At 43.0% G+C, this 25,704-nt stretch overlaps 1 protein-coding gene across 2 annotated transcripts in view; it reads right to left on the bottom strand.

The window, feature by feature from the left end:
* The window catches only part of PAPPA (pappalysin 1), a 248,531-nt gene that overhangs the window by 203,321 nt on the left and 19,506 nt on the right, over nucleotides 1-25,704 (bottom strand). For both annotated transcript variants that reach the window (NM_002581.5, XM_017014784.3), the window contains exon 2: nucleotides 10,785-11,847. In NM_002581.5, coding sequence (NP_002572.2) covers nucleotides 10,785-11,847 — 1,063 coding nt within the window. The remainder of the gene's footprint in view (nucleotides 1-10,784; nucleotides 11,848-25,704) is intronic.

Below are 25,704 nucleotides of genomic sequence, written 5' to 3'. Positions count from 1 at the left end.
CCTAATAATAAACATTGAGATGGAAGTCAGCAGTTTGTGTAACTTCGATGAATAAATAAAGCATTCAAAAGGGGAAAAAAAAACACTCCACCATGTATGAGGTCCCTCATATCATAAAATAAAAGGTACTTGAGTAGCACTCCAAAAGAAAAAATAATCTCAGAATAAAGCACACTACTTTACAATGAATGCATTTTACTAGAAACTACACAGCTGCTATTTTTCTCATTTACCTTTTGGAAAATAATTTTAGAGATTGTTAGGACAGAAAGCAAAGTGTCAGAACACCTGGTTCCTGGCAAGCTCAGCTACACTCACTAGGTTAACACGAATCATCCTTTAGGACACAGCCTAAAAGCTACTCTGACCCCCGATGTCTGAGTCAGGTAGCCATTCTCTGTGTTCGCTCAGCACCTTGGACTTCTCCGTAACAGCAATTATGCAGCTAGCTATTTATCTTGCTGCAGGAAATTCCAAAAGGGCAGAATTACAGATGTCTTGTGCAATGTTCAATGTTGTACTTCTAGCACCTAGCACTGTGCTTGGCACATAGAAGGCAGACACACACACTCATGCACAAACTATTGGATGAATAGTCACTTCCCTAAGATCTTCTCTTGGGGTACTCCAATCTCTGTTTTGACAGCCTCAGAAACTCTGAGTTCATATATTTTCAGAGCAGCCATTAAGGCTTGAGGAATCTCTTGCTAAGTAAGGAGGTGCACAATTGAATTGTGATGCTGTGTTCAAAAGCAACACAGTAGTAATACAATTATCTCATGTCAGACAATCATTCTTGCAACTGAACTCTACCGTTCAAGGGCCCACAGCTCTCTTCCCACCACCTCACTTCCTTCTTGGAGCATCAAACCAAATTGATAAATAACACAACTGACCACACTGAGTGAATATGCACAACTTACTAACAGCCCTGTGATTTGTCTTATGCTTAAATCACAACTAAGCAAAGACAATCACATCTCCTTCATGAGCTGCAGCAGTCAATGTTTTAGGAACAAGGGTTATTTCAGAAGACTGCATAGTTTGGCTCTAGACTTTAGCCATGTAGGCATATAACTGATGTGAAGACTAACTAAAATATACTAAGTTTAGAAAGGATAAATCAAGAATTATATAATCACCAATATGTGTTAAAATGGCAATGTCTAAATTTTAATCTGGACCATAGTCCCATACAAATCACCTAACCTTAGGCAAAAAACAAATTTATTTAAAATTAAAACAATACAGGCCGTACAGTAGATGTAGGTCCCTCTGGATGACCTTGAATAAGTCTAGTAACTTCTCCAAATTTGGGTCTCCCTTGGGGTTAAACAGAGACAACTCTTAGAAAGTCATGTGATGATCAAGGAGTTCAAGTATAGAGAAATGATGCTAGAAAGCATGACATTATATGCCAGGCTGTCAAAAGTAGAAATAAATTCAAATTGATTTTTGGAAAGAGGATGCCACATTTGGAGCCTAAGGGAAAATAAAATAGCAGACATGTAGACTGCCCCAGTATGGGGTACCATCACAAGGCCACTGCTGGGACTTGAGAAATATGAGTAGGATTTTTTTTCAACTTGTCATAGAGCATAATTGCTCCTCATTACCACACTGAACACTTTGTACTCAAGTAGTTACAGGGGCTGGTCAATCCTCTGAAGGCAAAGACTGTCTCTTATATCCCTTGGCGTCTCCAGTGCCAGTGCATGGCTTTATTTGTACCTTTTAAATATTAAGCCCATCCTCTGTACTCTAGTTCTACTTCCCACAATCTTGGAAACAGGATTCCAATGTCTAATTTGAGAATATGTGTGCATGAACAAACCTCAAATCCTCCCATTTTACAGATGAAGAATTTGAAATAAGAGAAGAAAAGTGTCATACTTCATGCTGGCCACTAAGTTCCTGGAAGAATCTAGTCAATTCCTTCCTCACGCTTGGCCAAACCACTGGCAAACTGTGTTTTTCTACCATGGATTCTCATGGGAAAGAAACCTCCTTTGCATCTCTCTTACTTCATGATTTTGTGGAGTTATAATCATCATTGCCCTCTGTGGCCATAAAAATAGTTCAGTAGTTAGAAGTCAAGTTCAAGGCTAAGAGCTGCAGTTGGCTGCCTGAACTCACACAACTTTTGAATCAAACACATCAGAAGCTCGATGTGGAGACAGTGCTCCTCCACCCTTCACCACCAGGCCACTAAAACAACCTAGAACATGGAAAAGAGAAAGAGAAGAAAGGAGAAAGGAGGAAGACAGAAAATGCTCCTCTGAAAAATGGGAAAACACGAGCATATTCTAGTTATGCAAACAAACCCATGAACAAAATGCAATGCTGTTCACACACTAGTTTTGTGTTTTCAGAAAGTGAGAGTGGAGGTGTGGAGGTTCCCTCTCAGGAGGTGGAAAACTGCCCAGCAGTGAGTTTGAAGCAACAAGCTGAGCTGTAACCAACTTAGGAAAATGTATTTCAATAAAACAAAATGTGCTGCTGTCTGTCAGTTCAACCATCTCTTGCACGCCCAACGGCTTTGTTTCCTAACCTGGAAGGGCATCTGACCAAGTGCAGAGGCTGTCATGAGTGGTCAGTGTCATCAGTGGATGCAGAAAGGAAAATGAGAGTGCTGAGCATGCCAAACCCAGGGTGGGAAAAAACCAACTGCCTCCTGCTGAGGCCCTTGAAAGGGCACCAGTACTGCCATCCATCCAGGCAGCTGGGAATGGGACAGGGAACACAACATTTGGGAAAGGGATGAAAGAAGGAGGACCTCAGATCCTGGCATGTTCCTGACTTCTCCCCGCAAAGGAGTTCCAACTTTTATCTGTAAACTTTGAGAATATAGAGTATGCTGGGGCAAGAGTCCCAGGCCAGGAGAGAGCCTTGGTTGGTGTAGTCCTGAGCACATTATGGGTACCCTCCTGGCTTCCCAGCTTCCAGTTCCTTCCCTACTCACTATTCAATGAGCCCCAACTTGGAATCCCAGACATGCCTTTGCTTTTTTGCTGGAAATGCTTAAACTTAGTGTGGCATGCTGCTTATCTCTTGGGATAATCAATATATTAGCATTCGGTTTATACAGGACTTTTGGAATTAAAAAAAATATTTTAAAAATGAAACCTGAGGATGATAAAATAAAAGGGCTTTTGGTAGTACAGAGTGGTTGATTAGGTTACTTCTGTCTCTTACTCCCGCACTGAGATTGTAGTGAGGGGGCTCAGGATTGAAAAGGGGCTAAGAATTTCGGGATATGCACAATAAGAAGCGAGAAGATCTATCGGAGGAGGGCAATTCCCAAACAACAGCAGCAATAACAACTGCTATTTTCAGACTTCACTATGTGCCAGGTGCTGTCCTAAAAGGTTGACTGTGTATTATTTCATCCAATCCTCTAAACCACCCAATGCACTAGACTGTTACTTTCATTCCTGACTTTACAGAGGAGGTGACTGAGTCTTTGACAAAGGAAGAGACCTGTGCAAGGTTACAGAACTGTTAAATGACTTGACTGTAGTATGTTCCGTCTCCAAAACTTGTATTCTTATTTATTTGCTAGACTGTATTGATCTTCTACTGTTCCTCATAGGTCACTGTTTCGAGCTCCTTATTAACCTCATCTTTAGGGGCCTTGAACAGTTCTTCTTTTAATTCAGTTCACCCCTCTATTCTGCTCTTAAGACCAAAGTTATATGTGTGCAAGTCTCACAGATGGAACTTGTGAGTAAAGGTGGACTTTGTTCAGAAGAAAAGCATGAAGAAAACCCAGACTGAATCAGAGAAAATCAAACCATATGTGTGAGTATGCCTGAATCTGTATGTCTGTGTATCAACCCTCAAGCAGGCATGAGGGCTGGAGATGGTGGAAACATATAGTAACTTCACAAGTCTGGCATATCTCTCATTATGAGCCATCCCAACATTGCCTGGAATGGTTTTGTACAGAAATATGTCCTTTAACACTGCCAGACATTTGGGTCATTTTAAAAGTAAGCCAGTGTGCAAATTCAATAACTCAATGAGTTTGATAGAAGTTATAGGGTCTTTATTTAAAAATACCAATTCTGTGGCTAGTCCTTTAAAAAAAGTTAATATTTTGAGAACGAAAATAATCTCAGCAAATGCTCTCAATTTGTATATGGCAGTTTCATCCAGGCCTTTTTTTATGAGCCTGTAGGAACACAGTCTCTGTAAAACAATGCTGACAGGGAGGATATGGTGTCCACATGTGCACACAAGAATGGAGGAGACTTTTCTCCATCACCTACCATGTGCCAGGCACTGTACCATACCAGGTGTCTCACACAGATGACTCCATTTGAGTGCCATGACATGCCACAGGATAGCTGCTATCACCCAATTATTACAGATGAGAAACCAGCGGCTCTTACTGAGCAATGTGCCAAGGTCAGACAGCTAGTGCAGAGCGGAGCCAAGATTCAAACCCTGGTCAGTCTCTAGCACGCATAATTTTTCCACTACACCAGACCTGACTCCTGTTATTGCTTTAATGAATATTAGTCACATTAAATAAACCCTGATATTCTGATTATAAAATTCCAAGCAATTTCTTTTACATGATTACTGGAAAAGAATGAACAAAGTGACTGAAAAATAACAATGCCCCCTTTCATCTGCATGCTGGTTAACTCTTCCCAGAACTCTTTCTGGGATATTATTTTATGAGACCCTCATGGCAATTGTGTGATCCAGGCAGTCAGATACTATTATTCCTTCCAAATAGATGTGGAATTGGAGGCTCAGAGAGATTAAAAGGCTTGCCCAAGATTGCATAGCTAACAAACTGCCCAGCCCAGGCTAGAATCTGTTTCACCTGAATTCTTTCATTCTAAATCAGCCCGAGTCTTCAGTGTCTACAGTCTGAAGAAAAAACTGTGGCATCTACCTTCATGAAGCCCCAACCAGACTCACATCTTTCTTGCATCTCCTCAACATCTTCCCACTTCAATTTATTTACCCTATTATCACTACATGTCTGGCCAGCCCACCAGCTCTTTTCTATTATTACAAAGCCTGCTTATGCTAAAAGCCTATTGCATCCCTTCTCCATCATTAAACCTTTCCTAACTTCTCCAAACCACAGTGATCCTGCCCTTTCTCAGAGCTCATGGAAGCCTTATAGGCTATGTGGTTTACAGGGAAATTAGTCATCTGCCCTCTTGCCTTCTCTTGAATGACTGTAACAAAATGTCATTGAATCACAGGATACAAGCACCTTGAAGACAGAGATTATATCTTGGACCCCTACAGCATTTATCACAGTTCTCTGGATACTAAGGTGTCTTAATGGAATGTGGATGATGGGTAAGAACATAAACATACTAAATGTAACCTTTCCAGGTTTTAAGCTGGTGTCTAAGGTGTCTATAGGGTGTAGTTGAAAAAGCATGGGAGTAGGAAGTGAGACCCTGGGTCTCCATCGCAGCTCAGCCCCCCTCTCAATGGATGGTTTGCGTCAGTGTCTGCCCCTCCTTGAGGGCTTAGTCTCCCCATCTGCAGCAAGAAAGTACTGGACCCATCTACTGATCCATTAAGCTCTGAGAGTCCTTCATTCAGATTGAAAAGGAAGAGGAAAGTATGAAGTTTATGCTCCATGAGATCAAATCAGAAATTAAGTAGGAAACCCCACCCAGAGAGGACAAATCATTCAGTGGCCCTGATTAGAGCAGGGGAAGAGGCTAACGGGGGCTATAGCTGCCAGCAGAGGGGTCGGGGGTGACCTCAAGACTTATCGCAGCCCCTTTTGTGAGACTTCCAACAACATTAACTGGAGTCCAAAAGCAACAACAACAAAAACCTGGCCTCAGGGGATTGTCCTTGTTACATTCAAAAAAATAATAATAAAAAAGAGAAGACAAAGGAAATAATTCCCAAATAATAATAAAGAGAAGACAAAGGAAATGTTTCCTTATGAGACAACAGTGTATAGGGAAAGTGTCTTTTTTTCCACCCATCCCATTTTGTATGAGTAGATATTCATGAACAAAGGTGAGTTCACTTGAGGGTGCCAGGGTTTGGAAGGGTCCAAACAGGAACTTGGTTGGTTTGCTGCAATATCCTCTCTCAGTGAGGTAGCTACAGTCTTCAGTGTCAAATGCCCCTGGATTTCCTGACACTGGAATTTTCTATTAATATCCAGGTTTTCCATTTCATTTATAAAAGGGTGTGTGAAGTGCATTCTACCTGCGTGGAGACATCTCTAATGGCTGCAGATGAAGTCCTGCCTCCCTGGCTATTCTCCACCACTGTAGAGAATGGCCACAGTTCACCTGGAATGTCTTTTTTCTAACTGGCTAGTCTCATAGAAAGGCATTTACTGCTCACACAGACTGCTCCTCCTGGCTAGTACTGTGGACCCTTCATTCACACCAGTGATTGCAGTGGGGTGTTGACTTCTCTGTCTTACCCACTAGGTGGTAAGCTCTGGGAGGGCAGTGATCGGGCTGGCACAGAGAGAGCATTCAACAAATATTTATTGAGAGAAGAAAAGGACAGAAGGAAGGGAAGGTGGGAAGAATGTAGGGAGGAAGGAACAGAGGATTAAGCCTAACATTAAAGTTTTCCGTGAGATAAACTGAACTTTTCTCTGCTCATGGTCTGGATCTCAGCCATAATAACCCCTTAAACTCCATGCTCTCTTCTATACACCACTCCTCACCCTCTCCACTGCCTGGCTTATGCCCTACCCTCTGCATGGGCTGGCTGTCTCTAGGCTCTGGACATTCTCTGCTTGCTAATGCAGGTCCACTCCCCACCCTGCTCTGTGTCCTTGGGAGGCTGGCTATCTATGGATTGCATCAACAGGTTCCTTTGTTTTGTGACTTCAGTTGGATCCACCAAATGGGAAGCACTGGCAGGAGACTGGCAGGCAGAGAGAATGACAACATGGAATTTACTCTCCTGGTTCCCTTCTGGTCAGGTGGCTGTAGCCTGGCTGCTTCCCTTGCTGAGAGCCACAGCTGCTGCCAGGAAATCCCCTCCATACAGTCCCTCTCTCTGGGTCCCATAACCACTTTCTCCTCTTGCCCCTACAGGCCAAGGGGGTAAATGGCTCTCCATGGTTGCCCGCCCTAGAGTATAGCACAAGGCCTTGTTGGTTGTCCTTAATCCTGCCTACAACATTGTAAACAGCTTCTCCTTGAAAACAGCCCCTCCTTCAATTCTCCTTAATTATTCTGTTTGAATGTGCCATCTGTTTCCTGCTAGGACCCTCACTGATGGAGTCTGCATCTTTACCTCTCAGCAGGCTGCCTATTCTCAAATGCCTACTCAAATCTTGCCCCCTCCAGCTGATTTGCCTTGTTTTCCTAGTCAAATAAATCTCTGCTTTTTCAGTCTCCTGTCCTACTGTGTGTCTCTAAATTTACAAATCAGAGTTTCTTATGTTTCTATATGACTTTCCCACTAAAGTGGAAGCCCCTTAATGGTGAGGAACATGTCCAACTCATTGCAACACCCCCAGTGAAGAGCAGAAAGGCTGGTGGGATAGACATGCCCAATAAATGCCTGTTAAAGAGAAGAGAAGCAGTCAATATTTGGTTTTCTGATATGAAATGGAATAAGATATTACTGTGCAGTGCTCAACCCCAAGACCACAAGGCCACCGTCTCCACCAGAACTGTAATCCCACCTATGGCCTCATTATGCATGGTTATCAGTACTGACTTGCATGCTTCTGGTGAAGGGGAGCTCACTCACCCACAGACAAAGCCCTCCCCAAAAAGGACCATTCTGACTGGAGATGATATCATCTATTACTCAGCTCAAAGCTGCCTCCTGTAATTGCAACACTGTAGTCACAGCCATGGCTTAGAAACCATATAGAATAATTCTGTGACTTTCCCACAGGATAGGCCTTCAGAGCTTGAAGTGTATGTGTCATGACCATGTAATCATGACTCTCCCACCCTCCCTATCTCCCTCCCTCCCTCCTTCCCTTCCTCCCTCCTTCCCTTCCTCCCTTTTTTGTTTAAATTCACAAAGCAAAAATTTATCTGCAACCTTCCACAGGTTTCTGTCTGCACACAGGAGAGCTGAATCGGCCAGAACCCAGAAAATCCCAGCCTCACCAAGAGATGACACGTGACCTGGTGGGCCTCACCCAGGGCATACAGCTTTCCCAGCTAGCAAACAAACAAGCCCTGGTCACAGCGGTTATAGCTGGCTCATGGTCGCTCACAGACACTCTGGGCATGCATTCCCGTGACTTAGAAAAGAGGAGGCCTTTGGAACCTGCCAGTGCTGTCTGCTGATTGTGAGGTGTCTGGAACCTGGGGCCCCATGGCCCCTCCACACCAGCATGGTGCTCTGCAAAGGCCAGCTGCTCTTCATCCTGTCTCAATGATACACAGTTTTTTTCCCCAAAACTTTAGTAGCGCCACTCTCCCTATCACTTGTCTTTTAATTTTGCCCCTTATTGTTCCTTAGATTAAAAAATATCCTCCTTCCATGGGAGGTTTGGACCTAGTAGTCTTGAGTTTGAATCCAAGCTATCCATTTATTAGCAGATTGAGCTTAGGTAAGTCCCTTCATCTTTCTGAATCTTGAAATTTTCAAAGCAAAACAGGGCTAAGGGTATCCACTTTCCTGGCACTTGGCAGGTGCTGCATAAACATTTGTTGCATGAATGAATGAGTGAATGAATGAGCAAATAAATCGATGTACAAATGAATGGATGACTTCCAATTATGCCCATCCTACCCCACGCCCACTCTCACCAGGCACAGAGGTACCTCTTGGGAGTCTAGTTTGGTGGAGCACACTGATCATAGACTTGCACTTGTGATTTAGCCTAATGATTTTCTTGACCCATGAACTTAGCTAAGTTACTCCACTCTCTAAGTTTCCTCTATTTCCCATCAGTCAAATGTGAATGTTAACCTCTGTGTTGACTCCCTTGCCAAGTTTTGGAAAGGCCCAAGTGAAAGCAGAGATGACAATGCACTGTGACCTAGAAGAGACTGGTCACACACCAAGGCTTCTCCTCACATGGGCTGCTCATGTCTTGGAGCCAAGGTGAGAGTCCAGGGGCCCTCCTGGTGCCGGGAAGCTGAGCTGAGGTGCTTTCTGACTTGCTGCCAGGCAGGGCATTCTCCTGCCAGCATCCTCATTCCTTTGCACATAGGTATTTTGTTCACGCACGGGAGGCCCTTGCTCTTTTGAGAGAGACATAAAGAGAAGAGTCAGCAGAAAACCTGCAGAGGTCGGCAAATGTGCTCGAGCCATCAGCAAGTCCAGGGTCCTGTGTGTTGGACAGAATAGAAAAGTTCAGTGTGAATCTGGGAAAAACAAGAAAGTGGATATTGATGGTCTCTCCAGCTTGAATCTAGTTCCTCCAGGTCCCACATTTAATACAGGTTACCCTTGAGTTCACCTTTTGGGCTCTACTTTTGGATTACTGGTTGCAACTGACAGCAATGGCAGAGGCTAAGTGAGGCATTAGACTGAAGGCCCCCTTTTCTGTCCTCTTTTTAGCAGTAGATGAGAAATTCCTTCTGCCTGGAGTGTCCTCCCTTCTTCCTCCACCCAATTTCTGATGTCAAAATTTTACCTATTCTTTTTTCAGGTAAATTTTATTGTGTATATTTAAGGTAGACATGATGTTATGGGAAACATATAGATAGCAAACAGTTTATTATAGTGAAATAAATTAACATATCCATTATCTTAAGTCATCCATTTTCTTTTGGTTTTGTGCCAAAAGTATTTAAAATCTGGTTATTTAGCATGAATCCCAAATACAGTTCAACCTTATTTCCTATAGTCCTCATGCTATACATTAGCCCTCTAGATTTGTTCTATTACACCAAATGTATTGATCTTGTTGTTCATTAGATCTCTAGATTTGTTCTAACATCCTTCAAATTAGAGCTATTCTTGAAGACCTTGCTCAAATGTCACCTCTCTCAAGAAGGCTTCCCTGATATAGTCAAGCTGCAAATCAACTTTTTCTCTTTGATCATCTAGGGCACTCCCTAAACACAGCACACTACCTTTCATTAGACAAGTAATGACAGACATACTATTGAGAATTAATGATGTGCTGTAAGAGAGTGTACTTTATATGTCTTCTCTCTATCAATCCTCAGAGCAACTTGACAAAATAGGTACCATTATTCTCCCCATTTTACAGATGAAGAAACAGCTTCTAAGAAGTTACAAAATGAAGAAGTCACAGAGAGCTGAGACCATGGGGCCAGGTTTTCTAGCCCCATGCGACCCCACCTCTTTGAGCCTGTCCACCAGAACTTTCTGTGATGACTGAAGTGTTTCATATTGCTTTGCCAGTATGGTAGCTACTAGTCCCATGTGGCTAGAGTACTTGAAATGTGGCTAATGAAACTCAGGAATTGAATTTTGAGTTTTATTTAACTTTGACTGATTTAAATTTAAGTAGGCACATGTTGCTAGGAACTACCATATTGGACTGTGCAACTCTCACCCACTCTATGTCATACAATACAACAGCTATTTGTACTCAGCTTATATCACTCAATTTGAACTCTGGGCTCTTTGAGAAAACAGGGCTCTCAGGCTTCCCTCATGACTCATGGTAGGCACTCAATAAATATTTTTATAATAAACTGGGTTTACCTATGGTCTCCACAATGACCCGAGTAAAAGACTTGCCTCAATCATGAAGCTGCTGGTTGAACCAGAAAATCCCCATATCACCCACTGGCCTCAGGTGCCTTATCTATAATATGGAGGACATCAAGTTCAACTTTCAACTGGGCATCTTTAGCCCAGTAAGGTCTTACCTGTGTGGAGAGTCGGGGTCAAAGCAAGTCTGAGTGACATTGGTGATTTCAGGGTCACAGCACTCTCCACCATCAAAGTTGAACCGTTCATAGTTGCAGTCCATGTCACACACCCCGTTGTGCTGCTTCTTCACGAAGGCAGGGTGGCGCAGGTGGCGGCAATCCCCGCCGTCGTGGCCCGTCAGCGTGTGGTTGCACTCGGGGTCACAGTTCTCATCCCCAATCTTGCTGATGTCACAGTTGGCCAGGATGAGGCGGCGGCGAAGGGAGGAGTTGCTCACCTCCAGCACGTCCAGCTCCCAGGAGATGTTGTATTGCTTGAAGGCCTCAGCCAGCTGATGGTGCTGGAAGTCCACCTGCTCGCGCGTCACCGTCGGGTTCTTATGATCATCTTCATAGAGGTTGACCACGCGGTAGCGCACCACCTTGGGCTGGCGGAAACTTGAGAGCTGATTGTAGCTGGCAATGACCTCTGTGTTGTCACACAATGTCTGTCCGCACAGAGGAGGCTCCAGACTCGTGTCCAGCAGAAAGCCGTGGGCATTGCTGAATTCCACTTTGGGGCTGCTGCCATCCTTCATGGGGGACCAGGCATGCTTCACATTGTCCCAGTTCTCCTGGAGGAGGAGCTGAGGTAGAGCAGTGTGGGCGCCATGGGTTTCCATGTCAGACAGTATCTCCCGCTGAGTCCTGGCCACCTTCCACAGACTGAAGTGCTCGATGTAGCCCCGGTAGTTGTGATTCAGGGCACTGCCCCCTAACATGAGCACTTTGCACTTCTGGGTCAGTGGGCTGAATATGCCACCCACTTGTTCCCCAGAGGTGGCCACCTGGGCACCATTCACATAGAGCTTCATGAACTGCCCATCATAGGTGGCAGCTAGGTATACCCACTGGCCTGGGAGGTAGCTGCGGTGGGCATTGATGGTGGTCACTTGCCGGGCTCGGTCTGTCTTCAAGGAGAAAAAGTAGCGTGGGTCTTTGTTGTCTTGGTCACTGATGGTGTGAATGCCCACGACCCATCCTCGGTCACGTGAGATATAAGAACATTTGTCATACAGCCCTATGTGGCCCCAAAAGAGAAAGATGAATAAATAAAGGATGGAAAAGGAGGGGGGGTTAAGTTATTTTTCTCTAATAAAATTTGTATCAGGTTATCCTAGACTCATCGCTTTCCAACTGCTCTGTGGGATCCTAGGAGTTGCTAATGGTGCCTCTGGGACCACCTCGAGGGCAAGGCAAGGGCTGGAGGAGCTGAGAGAATGAGTAAGTTGGGTTTGGAGCATTTTCATCACAATTTTAACCCATGAAGTTTAACTTTTATTGGTTTTGAATATGAAGCATACAAGAAAGATTTTTGTTTGAAGAAAGGGTACTTCATCTAATGAAGTTGTTGCAACAACAGCAGCAATAATAATAAAAATCTGAAAACCATTTTCCAAAGCTGTTGGATGGGGAAGAGGACTTTGTAATTAAGAGGGTATTTTAAGTGTAATATAGTATACGAGGTGAAAGGAGAAACAGAGGGAGATGATAACGAACAGAAGATGCTCATTTAGAAGGGAGGTCCCTACCATAGTTACCAGAACTTTGAGTGTACATCTGCCATTAGCAGTCATTAAATGATCAGTGGCATTAAATTGTCAGGAAAGTTGGGGCATAAAAGTGAGGGTCAGGACCTGAAAAGCTGGAACTTCATTCTCTAACAGGAATCTTGCCATTTATCCCCAAAGAAAGAAAACACACTTCAGAGCTAAACTAGACAGGTTTTCAAAGATCATCACCTCCAAACCCTTTGTTTGACAGGTGAGAGAGCTGAGTCCCAGAGAATGGAAGGCATTTGTTATGTCACAGAGTCATTGACAGTTCCCCTGTGTCCCAATTCAGCTTTCTTCTTACACTGATGCCTCTCTCTCTGTCTATATATATCTATATCTATATCTATATCTATATATCTATATAGATATATAGATATAGATACACACACACACACACACACACACACACACATATAATGAGTGCCTTCTTAACATAAATTGGGTATGCCTACATAATAGTTAATAATAATGAGCAAAATCTCCCAAGCCTCTATGGCAGGCCAGGCATTGTGCTAAGGTCTGTATATGCACTAACTTAATCCATGTAATATCCCTAAGGTGGTGACATTACGTTTCTCACTTAACTGGTGAGAATATGGAAGTTAAAGGAGATAGAGAGACAGGTTGAAGGTCAACTGCTTGGTAAGTGGATCCTAGATCCATCAGATCCTTGGATTCACTGTCCTAGGCCCTAATTCTATAGCAGCTCCCCCTGCCTCACCAAAATCATCAGGCATCTGGGCTATGCCACCTACCTGGGGCATGTCACAAATTTGAGTTCAATATTTGAGGAAGTTCCAAGCCAAGCATCTCTATAGTTACTCTGGGAACCCCAGGAAGTAGGTTAGCAGATTCTCTCTGGATCTAATTATCTTTATGCTCACCAACCCCCATTTCCTAGCCTTTCTGGAATATACCCAGTGTCCCTGGCATAGACAAAGCTGTTGGATGGGGAAGAGGACTTTCTAATTAAGAGTGTATTTTAAGTGTCAGATGATGTATGAGGCCAGGTGGGAGAAGAAAGAGAGGGAGAGGAGAGTGAATAAAAGATGCTCATTTAGAAGGACAGTGACTACTCTCAGCTGGAGAATTGTTGCAGTCACCATAACTCTGGGAGTTCACCTGCTATAAGTGCTCATCAAATGAGCAAGGAGAGCTTCCAGCAAAATCAATAGAGGAGGCCCACACAGTCTTCACTCCTCTGTGGGCAGTGGGAGCTTAGAATTGGTGTAAATCTCTTTGTCAGCAGCTGACATGGCCAGCAGTCTTGGACCAGCATCTATGCCAATCTACACCTCTCCTCCTACTTCCTGCTCAGCCATTTTTCAGGAAATGGCCAGAGTCTCCTTACAAAGTCATCCTGCTCTTACCATCAGGACAACCTTAGTGAAGCACCAAATGCCTCCTCTGGTGTCCTCTGGGTCCTGATTCTCTATCTGGTAAAGGAGCGGGTTAAGTAAGGTTCTGTGTCACATATTAGGTCCAAGTCTGATTTTCTTTATTCTAGATTTCCCAATGACTAGCATGCAAGGTAACTCTTTCAAGAAGTTCATCCTGACTTCCCTGTGAATAGTGATTATTCTCTTCTTTGAACTCTTTTTACTTTTAGGAAACTTGACATGTGCTCTTCGGTTTTGGAGTTGCCTGTGTTCTCACCATTATCCCCTCTCTGCCGAACTGTTTTCTTCTCGAGAGCAATGGTTGTGTCTGTGTCATTCCAGTAACCTCTCCAGCACCTTGCTACAGCAGGCATGGGAATGATTCTAAATAGAGCCGGAGACGAGAAAGGGTAGGGATTTTAAGGACAAACAGAATCAAAGGCATTAATTTATGTCTCTGTGACTAAAGTACAGGGAGAATCAGAGAATAAAATGTATTCTTGGTAAAGTAGAAAGATCAGGATCTTTGCACTCAGGGTAATTTACTTTGAATTTTGATGACAGCAGTTACTAGTTGTACGTATGGGGCAAAATCACTTCACCTCTAAGCCTTAATTCCTTCATCTGTATCTCTAAATATATTGTCATACTTAAAAGACATAGTGAATATGACATCCTCCGCATACAACGGCTGTCCAAATGAGAGTTCATTGTTAAGATGCTGGAGGGTTCAGGGGTGATGTAGAGGATGAAAAGGAGGGAGGAAATGACGGGAAACAAAATAGAAAGGCCAGAAAGAGAGGGTACCCTGAAGGCATCTTGCACGACATATCAAGAAGGAAGGCTCAAAAAAGCCCAGGTCCTCCTCAAACCCACTGGCAAACCCTTCTTAGAAATCATAGATCCCGTCAGCTTAGATGATATCATGAGACTACATATTAAAAGCTGCCTCCCCACTGACTCCTTCAAAAGCCTAAGATCCAACTCCAGATTTGAAGTGAGTTGCGCCAGATCTATCTGTTGCTGCCTGTTATGGAACCAGTTGAGAGCAGAGGTTCCTGGAGCCATGACATTCATGTCCTTCCCACCTCTTAGCTCACCTTCTCTCTCTCTCCCAGCTAACCCTATCCCTCATGAAAAGAAAATGAATGGCCTTCTAATGAGAAAATTAAAATCTAAAACAAGATCCTTTTTCCCTCTCTCTTTCTCTGTCTCTCTCTCTCTGCAGGTTTTTATTTTGCCAGGGGCTCCCAGTCTCTGGTTTTCCTGTTGCCTTTGGAAGGCAGCTAGCCTGGTTAGCAAGGTAAAATGTTTACACATCTGTAGGGTGCTCTCAGTTCAGAACCTTGCCGGGGCTTGGGACCCAGGCTCAGGCCACCTCTGTTTGCAGTTGAGAGAAGGGGGAAGAAGTGAGAAAAGGCAGATTCTGCAAAAGAGTTAAGAAATAAGGGGTGGCTTAGCCATGGGAGGCAGAGAGGAAGGGCAAAGAGAAGGTTTTCAATGGAACCAAAAAGAAACACATTAAGGGAAATGAGAACCTTGAAGCAGCGGCTTCACAAGTTCAGAGGGAAATATTTACCTGGAGTATAAGTAGTGAAAGAAAATCACCGAGCTTCAATAAGGTTGGGGGTGTATGGTGGCAATGGGGTTTTATTTCTATATGAACATAACTTAATCAACAGTAGTCTTATTTTAGGGTCTGAAAGGGAAGCATCGTTGTACCACCAGCTCAGAACCAGAAGTTTGGCACCAGAGATCTGAGCTTGACTTGTCAGGTAACCTTGCCTGGGACAAGTCATACCACCTCCTTTATGCTGCTGAACCTAATTTCCCTTCTCTGTAAAAGGAGGGGTCTGGATAAAAATGATCCCTTGCTAGAATTTAAGAGCTCTTTTGTTCACTGATAGAATGGTTCCTTGTAAGGAGAAGGTGCTCAAAAATATGTGTTGATTGGAATTAGATGCCTTATGTCATTCGCAACTCTTGCATGCTTAGGTTCTGTCTCCTCTGAGGATCTCTATACAGGACACACAATGCTGTTCTCTGGAGGACACAAAAGAACCCCCACGTCTCCACACTGCCCTTCCTCACAGTTCTCCATAAAGATAGAGGCATAGTACAAAAAAAAAATGGTGCTAATTTGTCTGAAGTCAGCACCATCTGTGTGGGACTAGAGGATGATCCCAGGGGATATAGTCCCATGTGGCAAAACCGAAGGCCACATGCAATTCTGCACACAATCTACATATAATTAGCGTATGTCTGTCTCAATGCTATAAGCACATAGAACTAGACAATGAAAGCGTGCAAGAGCCCTTTTAAAGTAGTGTGTCTGGGCACACTGCACAGAGGGAGAGGTTGAGGTGCAGCAGGAAAGGAGCCTGCCATGGTCCTCCTGTTACGGAACCATCCCTGGAACCCTGGCCAGCTGATCTTTCTAATGCACCCTATCTTCCTGCAGCTAGGCTGGATGTGAAAAGGGTTCCATAGGCCCCCAGAAGCTTGATGTCTATTTTTTTCATTGCCTCTTTTTCTTCTCATCTACTCATTCAATCTCATCCCAGAAAGGAAGAACATCCACAAAGGAGAAAAGCTCAAAGGCATGGAAAGAGTCTCTCAGAACCTTGGCTAAGGCTGTACAGAGTGTGGGAGAATACTCTGGGCATTAGGGGTATTCTCTAAAGATCATCATGGTAAATATTACCCCAAGACAAGTCTGTCTGACGACCCCATGCCACCCAGGCACCAACAAATCTTCCTCCTGTATATTCATCATACTCCTCCCCATCCTAAAACTGCCTCATCACTGAGTAATTACTCATTCAAGATCTGTGCTTCCCACATATGTGGCTGTTTGCTTCATTTATAAATACCTAACATCCAACCCAAAATCTGGTATGTTGTAAGTGCTCTGTAGAGTTTGTTATTGAAAGTTAAAAAGAAAGAAAGAAAGGGAGCAGGGGGATACTTCCCTATTTCTGCCTTCTCTATAAGAGTATCTTACTCTTTATTGAGAACATACTATCATTTACTCTACGTTAATTATCTTGCTTAATCTTCACAACAAGTCTATCAGCATTGCTCCCTCTTCAGGATAGACTGAGGCTCAGAATAGGGAAATGGTTGCCCAAAGCAACACAGCTCAGAATGCAGGTCTATAGAATTCCCACACCCAGGCTCTTAGTCATGGTCAATACATTAAGTGCCAAAGGCCAAATGTTTTGTTGTAGGCTGTTTAAAGGCGTGGCCTCCTCTGGAAATACTTCTGTAAGTTCTGCAGCACCCCCACAAGCAAGGTGAATTGAATTGAAAGCCAGGAGGCTGCTGTCTTTATCATTCTTCTGTAGGGACCTAAACAATTAACTAAGAATTGATGGTTCTTTATTACCAAAGAGTAATCTATTCCACTGGGCTCAGCCCACTTCGCTAGAACCCAAAGTTTGTCCAGGCATAGTTGTCCATCTGGAGTGCTTACTTGAGCTTGTCCTTCGACATCTGGATTTCCGTTACCAGCCTACCTGCCTGATGGTTTCTGACTCAGGTTTCCTCTAACTTCCAATGTCGATACTGATTTTTCTTCCCAAGCTTGCTGCCATGCTTTTGGCTGCCTCCCATTTTCCTTTTCATTGTGGTGGATGAAATTGTGTTCCACCAAATTTCATACATTAAAGATGTAACCCCAGTACCTTGGAATTTAACTGTATTTGGAGATACAGTCTTTGAAAAGGTAATTAAATTAAAGTGAGGTGACATGGCAGATCCTAATCCAATTTGACTGGTGTTCTTATAAGAGGAGAAAATTAGGACACAAGTAATACAGAGAAAAGACTATGTGAAGATACAAGGAAAAGATGACCATCTGGAAACCAGTGAGAGAGAGAGAGAAAGAGAGAGAGAGAAAGAGAGAGAGAGAGAGGTCTTGGAAGAAACAAACCTGGCTGACACCTTGATCTTGGACTTTTGATCTCCAGAATTTTAAGAAAATAAATTTCTGTCATTTAAGCCAGCCAGGCTGGGGTCCTTTGTTATGCCTGCCCTAGCAAACCATCATTCAACAAGTTTTCTAAGCTCTCCCACTGAAATTTTTCTAAAATCTATCTTATCTCCTAATGCCTGTTCCCAGTTCAGAATTTTTCTCTTGTTACAATGCAATGTCTCAATTTACTCAATTGCTGTTTTGAGTAGAGCAAGGTGTATTAGAAAGATAGCAAAATTGGTGGTGTGTTCATCACTTACAGGAAACATTCCTCACCTCAAGGTGTCTCCTAGAATCCTCACAGCAATCTGCTACAATAGGTACTATTTACAGATCAGAAAACTGGAAAGTCAGAGAGGCGAGGTCCCCTGCCTAAAGTCCCACAGCACTAAGGGGTAGGAAAAACTGGAATTCGAGTCTCCTGATTTCAAATTTGAAAGCTCCCCCACAGCTGAGGGGGACTCTAGCTATGCTTTCTTCCTGTGGTCTTGCCTAGGATGTTTTCCTGGGAAGCTTTAAGTCAACATAAAATTATCTCTGATAACATTTGACTTTCTGCCATCACTGTCTGGGGGCGGCGGGGTGGAGATAATTAGCAAAGGATGACAATTTATATGCAATTCGTATTATTGTTTGTTTTCTCTCATTGGGAGAGTAGATATAGAAGGAGAAAAAACTCCACCAGGACATTTCTGCTGTGAAAAAGTGGTATTTTTAAATAAATAATGATAATAATAACAAACACTTTCTGAAAGCCTCTATTTAGTAGTCTCTTTACTAAGCACAGACTAAGTGGGATTTATTAGTATTCTTTTGACAGATAAGGAAACTGAGATGTAGAGAGGTTAATTGATTTTCCCTCCAAGGATCCCAGCGAGGGATTGGGAGAATCACAATTCTAACTCTCATCTCTTTCACTCCAGAGCCAAAGCTCCCCACCAAGATGCTTTCCATGGTGGATTGGTGCTCTCAATCCACCATGAAGGCTCTAATGTCTAGGTCTGCCATGCTGTGCTGTGGTCCCTGGGTGAATAGCTCCCTACTCTGGGCTTCCTCACTTCCTTTCCTTAGGATATAAGAGTGTTAGACCACATGGTCACAGAGGTCCCTTCCATCCACATTCTGTGACTCCAAGATCCCAGCGATTACAGGTATCCCAGCCTTGGTTCCCCCTGCGGGAGATGTAAGGTCATTGTGGGGCAGGGTAAAAGGCAGTTTCAGACCCTTCAATTAAAGGATGCCCACTAGCTGTGGGACATCTGCCAGGAGAATACAAGCAGAGGTGAGAGGATGAGGGGATGAAAGGGGGAATTTAGGTCAACAATCTGGTTTCTTTCATGAGGCTAAAAAAATTAAAAGCTAAAGGTTGGAGCTGGTCCCTTTTTTGTTTTGTTTTGTTTTGCTTTCCCTTCCATGATTTAATCACTAGTATCAAAGCCACAGAGGAATGCTTGAGAGAGCAATCCTATGGAAAGCTTTTATCTGTCCAGAGGACAGTGATTAAAACAGACAGATTTGGGTTAAGTATACCCATGGTCCCTGCACTTGGTTCAGTCGGGGGGGAGACCCACCAAAATGACCTGGAGGACTCAGCACCATCAGGCATTCAGAGGAAGGCTGGGATATCACCGAGGAGGGTACCTGGGGGACTGCTCCTCAGCATCCTCATCCCTCCGGGTCCACCCCGGGTCAAAAGATTTGCCTTAGGCTCAGTGGAAGGAGGAGGCTTAAAGGGAGACATACAGGACTGGAGGATTATACCAAGTTATACTGGGTTCTGGACATCTCTGTGTCTTGTTCAAGAGAGGCAGGAGCATTGAAAGTAACCACATGGAACAATTCTCCAAGTCAGGGTTAGCTCAGGTGTTTCCCATGTGTTGGCCATGCAAGTGTAGGAGGAGGACCAGATTTCCTTTTGCAGGACGGCATGGAGCAGTAGAATGAACACCCTTGATGGCACCTGTGTCTGTTCTCCTGCCTGTATTCTTCTTCCTTGCCAGGAACTGTTATCTGAAAGCACCCTCACTAAATGGGTCTGTTCACCTTTTTTACTAGCTGTGTGACATCAGACAAGTTAATTCACCTCTCTGAACCTTAGTTTTCCCACATGTACACTAGGATGAAGAATCTTATCCTGTATACTTCACAGATGTCTTCTGAGAGAGAAAAGAGATAAATGTATGCATATTTCCTTGTAAACTATTTAAGGCTATCCAGATGTGAGGCAAGCTTGAGAGTAGTATGCCTGAGGGTTCCTGAAACCCATAAGTTTTAATAATACACAGACTTATGTGGTACATTTGGGATGGCAAACTGTAATTCCCTCTGGCTCTTGTGTCTCCAGCCTTCCTCCTTTGCTCATGTGTAAGCAGTCTGCATGGACGTAGAAAGGTTGGGGGATTACAGGCCAGTAAATCTGAGTTCGAATGCTGGCTTTGCCATTTACTAGCTATGGATGGGAAAGTCAGGGCTCCTTTCCCAGTATTAGTCTCCCCATCTGTAAAATGGGGATGATACATCTTCCTCTGACAGTTGTAGTGGGGGAACTAATGATAAAACAAATGTGACAGCACTTGGCACATGGCCACTGGCAACAAAACAAGTGTTACAACACATGGACAGTGGTGTGAGGCTGATCTGTGTATCTCAGCTCTGCTCCCTGTTAGCTGTGTAGCCTTGGACAAAATCTCTTTATCTCCTTGATAGTTTCCTCATATGTAAACTGATAATAATAAGTACTTAATAAATAGTGCCATTTCGAGGATTTAGTAAGAGAATCCAAAGGCTCATTTGCATAGAATGGGATTGTTGTAGCTACACTTTTTAAAAATGTGTGTTAATAATAAATATCTTTCCGGCCAGGCAAGGTGGCTCACGCCTGTAATCCCTGCACTTTGGGAGGCTGAGGTGGGCAGATCACCTGAGGTCAGGAGTTCAAGACCAGCCTGGCCAACATGATGAAACCCTGTCTCTACTAAAAATACAAAAAATTAGCTGGGCATGGTGATGTGTGCCTGTAATCCCAGCTACTCAGGAGGCTAAGGCAGGAGAATCACTTGAACCCAGGAGGCAGAGATTGCAGTAAGCCGAGATCGCGCCACTGCATTCCAGCCTGGGCAACAAGAGCGAAACTCCGTCTCAAACAAATAAATGAACAAACAAACAAAAAATAATATCTTTCCTTCTTTTTCAGAATTGGGATTATTTCCCCCCTTTTTGTGCTGTTAAACACACACATAAAGGTTCCTTTCTGACACTGTTCTCTGAAATGAAGATGCATGTTTATTGCTCTTTTTTCACACATTGTCGATGAAATCAGTGCATATAAAATTGGTGCACATCAACGTAAGAAAGGAAGTGGGGAAGGACAAGAAAAAAAGATCAAGGAGAAAGAAGAGGTGGGGGATGGGGTCAAAGAAGTACACTATAACAATATGAACTATTGTTCATCCTTGAAAGTTGCACAGCACAAACCAGATCCTGGTGGACTAAGGAGGGCTGATGTTGGGGCTGTCTTGGAAGAGAGATCTTTCCTTCGGTCATTTTAATGACTTGAGAATCTACAAGCTCCTCTCTCCACTCACTCATCAAGCCTGGAGACAATGATACCACTTGCCAGAAAATGGTCAAGGACCAGTGCATCCTGCTGTCATACCCTGCATGGCAGCCCCAAGACTGACCCTTCACCATTCATTGAATTAGGCAGAGTCAGGGCTGGAAATTCTCTTACTGGTTATTTAATCATCCCCTTTCACACCTAACCTCATATTTGAATCATCTGTACAACATTTTAACAAATGACTGACCACTCATATTTCCAGGCCAGCACAATGATTGGCAAGTAGAAAGCACCAATTAAGTTGACAAAATGCTTATATGTATGCATGCATTTAAGGGGAAATAAAGAAATGCATGTGAGGGTGCTTGCATGAGTGAAAGCACAGTGGACAGTCTGGTAGTGAAGAGCACAATTTGGGAGTGAATACAGCTGTTTTAAGTTCTGGCTCTGTGATGACCTTGAGGCAGCTCTGGTTGGAAGGATGTAATAAGACACTGTTCATAGAACACTTTTCAAAGTGCATGGTGTACAATAAGCATCCAAGAAATGGGCATCATGAAGGATGTATGTGAGGAAAGTAAAACCAAATGCACATGGGAAGTATCAGAGAAATGAGACAGAATTGAAGAAGAAGGAGAGAACTGTTTCTAATAAGCTCAGAAACATATTTTACATGTCCCTGCAAAGCCACATGGACATGTCAATTTAATGTCACTAATAAAAATATTGGGGGGGGGGGTCTTTCCTCTCAGTACTCCAGAGATCAAGACATTAATAGCCATTAATACTGTTGGAGAAGTAAAGGAAGCTTCCCTGATGTGGTAACTTTCTCCCAGTTTTGCTATAATCAGACCTTGGCTCATCTTGTCAACTCCATTTTTATTTCTCTGTGTAACTTTGCTTGTGTGTATGTTCATGCACATATGTTTAAAGTTTAAAAGAATATATCACATATTGCCTAGCATAATGGTGGCACTTAGTAGGTGCTCAACAGACTCTAATTGAATGAATGCTCTACATGCAGTTATGTGGATACTATAGTATTCTATCCACAAGTTCACAGACTAACAGGAGAGAGGGATATTTATCTTTCCAAGCTGGGGTGTGAGATATGATTTCAAATATCAACTCTGCTACCATGGAGCAGAGATTAGAGCAAGTCATAATTTTGGTCTGAGCTTTTCTTCTGTTACTTGGTAAAATGAGCATCCTATTATGCACCATAAAGGGTATGAAAAAACAAAGCTGGTGCTTAATCCATCATAATTACATTATTGGAACACTCTTCTAACTGGCCCATGGTCCAGAAGTTTCATTGCTCCCTTATACAGCCTGTGAAGCATCACCAGATTCATCTTCCTAAAATCCTATTTTTCACTATTCCCCCAAACAGACAAACCTCTTTCTCTGATGCTCTCAGAATAAAGACCAACAACAATTTTGCATTTCAGAAATTGGTCTCAATCTATCTCTGAGTGTGTAGACAGACTCTGGTAAGATTTCCTCACTTTGGCCCACACTGTTTCCTACAGGTAGAAATGTCTCCCTATTGTCCCTGTCCTTTTCTCTTTTCTGATCTTCAAGACAATACCAGTATTACTTCTTCCAGTAGACCTTCAGTCTTCATGAGTCTCCACCATCAGTGTATAAGTGTTGATGAGCACCTGCTATCTGGCACAGATGTAGTCAGTCTTTGACCCAGCCATCTTTCTGTACCAGCCACAGGACACTTGGGCTGTTTCTTGATAGTTCCCACATGTAGTTGTTGAGGGCACAGCCTCTCTTTTCTCCTGAGTCTTTCTGAGGTCCTAATACTGTTTTTGGTTGTTTAGTTGTTGATCTAATTTTTTTTCATGGCAATGATCACTGTTGACAGTATGACTCATTTCTGAGGTCAACCTCCAATGGTACTCTCCCCCACTCGACTGTAAGCCTCATAAGAACAGACAGTACATGTCTATCACCACCCTGTATCACTATATAGAGCCTGTATCACCACCCTGTATCACTATATAGAACCCTCCATATAGTGGCTAGGACATAAGTCCTCAATAAACATTTGCTGAATGGATAAATAAATGAAAGATTTATGTGCCCAAGGCTTGTGAGGAAACCTAATTTGGGGGGAGTTTTGGTTTCAAACAAGCTTTTCTTCTTCTTTTAAGTTTGTATTATTTGTATTTGTATTTAATTGACAAAAATTATGTATATTAATACTGTACAACATGATATTATGAAATACGTATACATTATGGAATGGCTGAACCAAGTTAATTAAGTATGCATTATCTTACATGCTTATTAGAATTTTTGTGGTGAGAACACTTAAAATCTATTTTCCTAGCAATTTTCAAGTGTGCAATAGTAACTATAGTCATCATGTTGTATAATAGATCTCTTGAAGTGATTCCTGCTGTCTAACAAAATTGTGTATCCAGTTTTCAAACGCTCCTCTTGGTACTGGAGGGCGCCCTGATTTAGAGGCAAGAGTGGCGGTCCTTGTTACATCATATAAGCCCCTTCAACTTTCTGGCCCTCGATGTTTCCATCTATATAATGGGAGGTTGACATCAGTGGTCATTAGGTTTGAATGTATAAATAGTGAAAGGAGTAACAGGGAGTTAGGAAAATACAACTTAGTTGTGTGTTGGCGAGACCTTAGGCAAGTCACACTCTCTCTCAGGTGTCCGTTTTCTTATTTGTGAAAGAAGATGACTGTGGTAAAATAAATTCTACCAGTTTTCTTGAAAATGCAGAGAAAAAAATTTCTATTTGGAGGGTAATAAGACGGGAACTTGTGCTTTAATTTGCCACTATTAATCTTGGGCAAATTTCTTTTCATCCATGGTCACTTCATGACTTTCATAGGCTCCTTCTTCCAAAATTATGCTTTATGATTGCATTGTTATAAAAATAAATGTAATTGAGAGTCTGGATTCCTTATTTTAGATGTATTATTATTATATTATTTTTTCTTCTGATTCTAAAAGAAATTAATCTAAAAGAAATTAATTAATTCTAAAAGAAAGAATTAATCCATTTTTGTAGTTTAACAAAAGTACTGTAGACCTCAGGCACTGTGCCAACTGTGTCTAACAGGTGAGTCATCAGCCTTGTTTTCATCTTTGGACCTCGGTTCCTCATCTGCTGAAGAGCATTGGGAGGAGGAGGCACTGAACACCTGTACCCATTCTAAGGAGCCAAGAGGAATGGGGAAGATTCCCACATGGGCAAGTCAAATGATGTAAATTTCATACCTGATGCAGGCCTACAGCAAGTTGTATAAAAACACAGCCCACACAGTGTGGGCTGAGCTCTGAAGAAAAAGCTCCTCTCTCAGATGAGCCTGCCATCACCTCATCTTGGCCCACACAGCCTAGGGTGAGCCTTTCAGGAGAGAGATGGCAAAGGGAGATAAGAAAGGGACAAGGCCAGACAGGCAGATCTCCACTTTGCAGGGCTGGTGCCCTCCAGAATTACCTTTCTAGGCAGGGAGGGCAATGACAGCTGATGCTTACCGAGTGATTACTGTGTGCCAGGTATTGTGCGAAACTCTTTGCATAGATAACTCAGGTAACTCTCACAATAATGCAAGCAGGGAAATATTATTATTATCACCATTTTACAGATGAGAAAACTGAGACTCAGAGAGTCCAAATAACTCACCTAAGCCTGAGTAACCTGTTGGCCAAGTGACAAAGATGGGGTTCAACCCCAAGCAATCAGACTCCAGAATTCACATTTTAACTTCTAAATATTTCTGCTTAGTCAGGGGAAAGCTGACTACACCAGGACAAGGGGCTGCTTTTAATGATAAATAAAGAGTAATAAAGCGAGTTCTATAGTAGAGGTACAAGCAAATAGAGCTCAGCAGAAAGACTACTTGATTCTGACAAGAAGGTGCAGGGAAGTTTTCCTGGATGAGTCTCAAAAGAGCCGAGCCTTGCATGAGGTACAGGATTTGGGGAAGGAGAAGCTGGTCAAAGACTTTCTAGCACAAGGTGAATCATCAGCAATGGCAAGAGCTATGAAGTCCACCTAAAGGTCACTCTCGAGATGAGAAAGATATTTGCTTTTGATGGGATTGAGGGTGCACAGAGTAACTGAGGGAAATGAAGTACAATGGCTGTCTGAGGCTAGATCACAAAGGGTTGTGAATGACATGCCAAAAGATCTAAAGTTTCTTCCATAGAAAAGAATGAATCTTTGGTGTTTTTTGAGGCAGTCCATGGGGGTGGGTGGGGATCATTAGCTGGGGATTATATGGTCTTCCTTTTGACAGTCACAGAGCTAACAGAGCCAGGACTAAAGTCTCAGGACTCCTGTCTAGTGCTCATGTGGCAATCTGGAGTCATTTAGCCTTAAGACTCATTAATGAAGAGGGTGAAATGTGAGCACAATTTCAAAG

The sequence above is a fragment of the Homo sapiens genome, chromosome 9, assembly GCF_000001405.40.
Source record: "Homo sapiens chromosome 9, GRCh38.p14 Primary Assembly".
NCBI classification, from domain to species: Eukaryota; Metazoa; Chordata; class Mammalia; order Primates; family Hominidae; genus Homo; species Homo sapiens.
The sequence above is the reverse complement of the archived record's forward strand: the minus strand, read 5'-3'. Positions and strand labels throughout refer to the sequence as shown.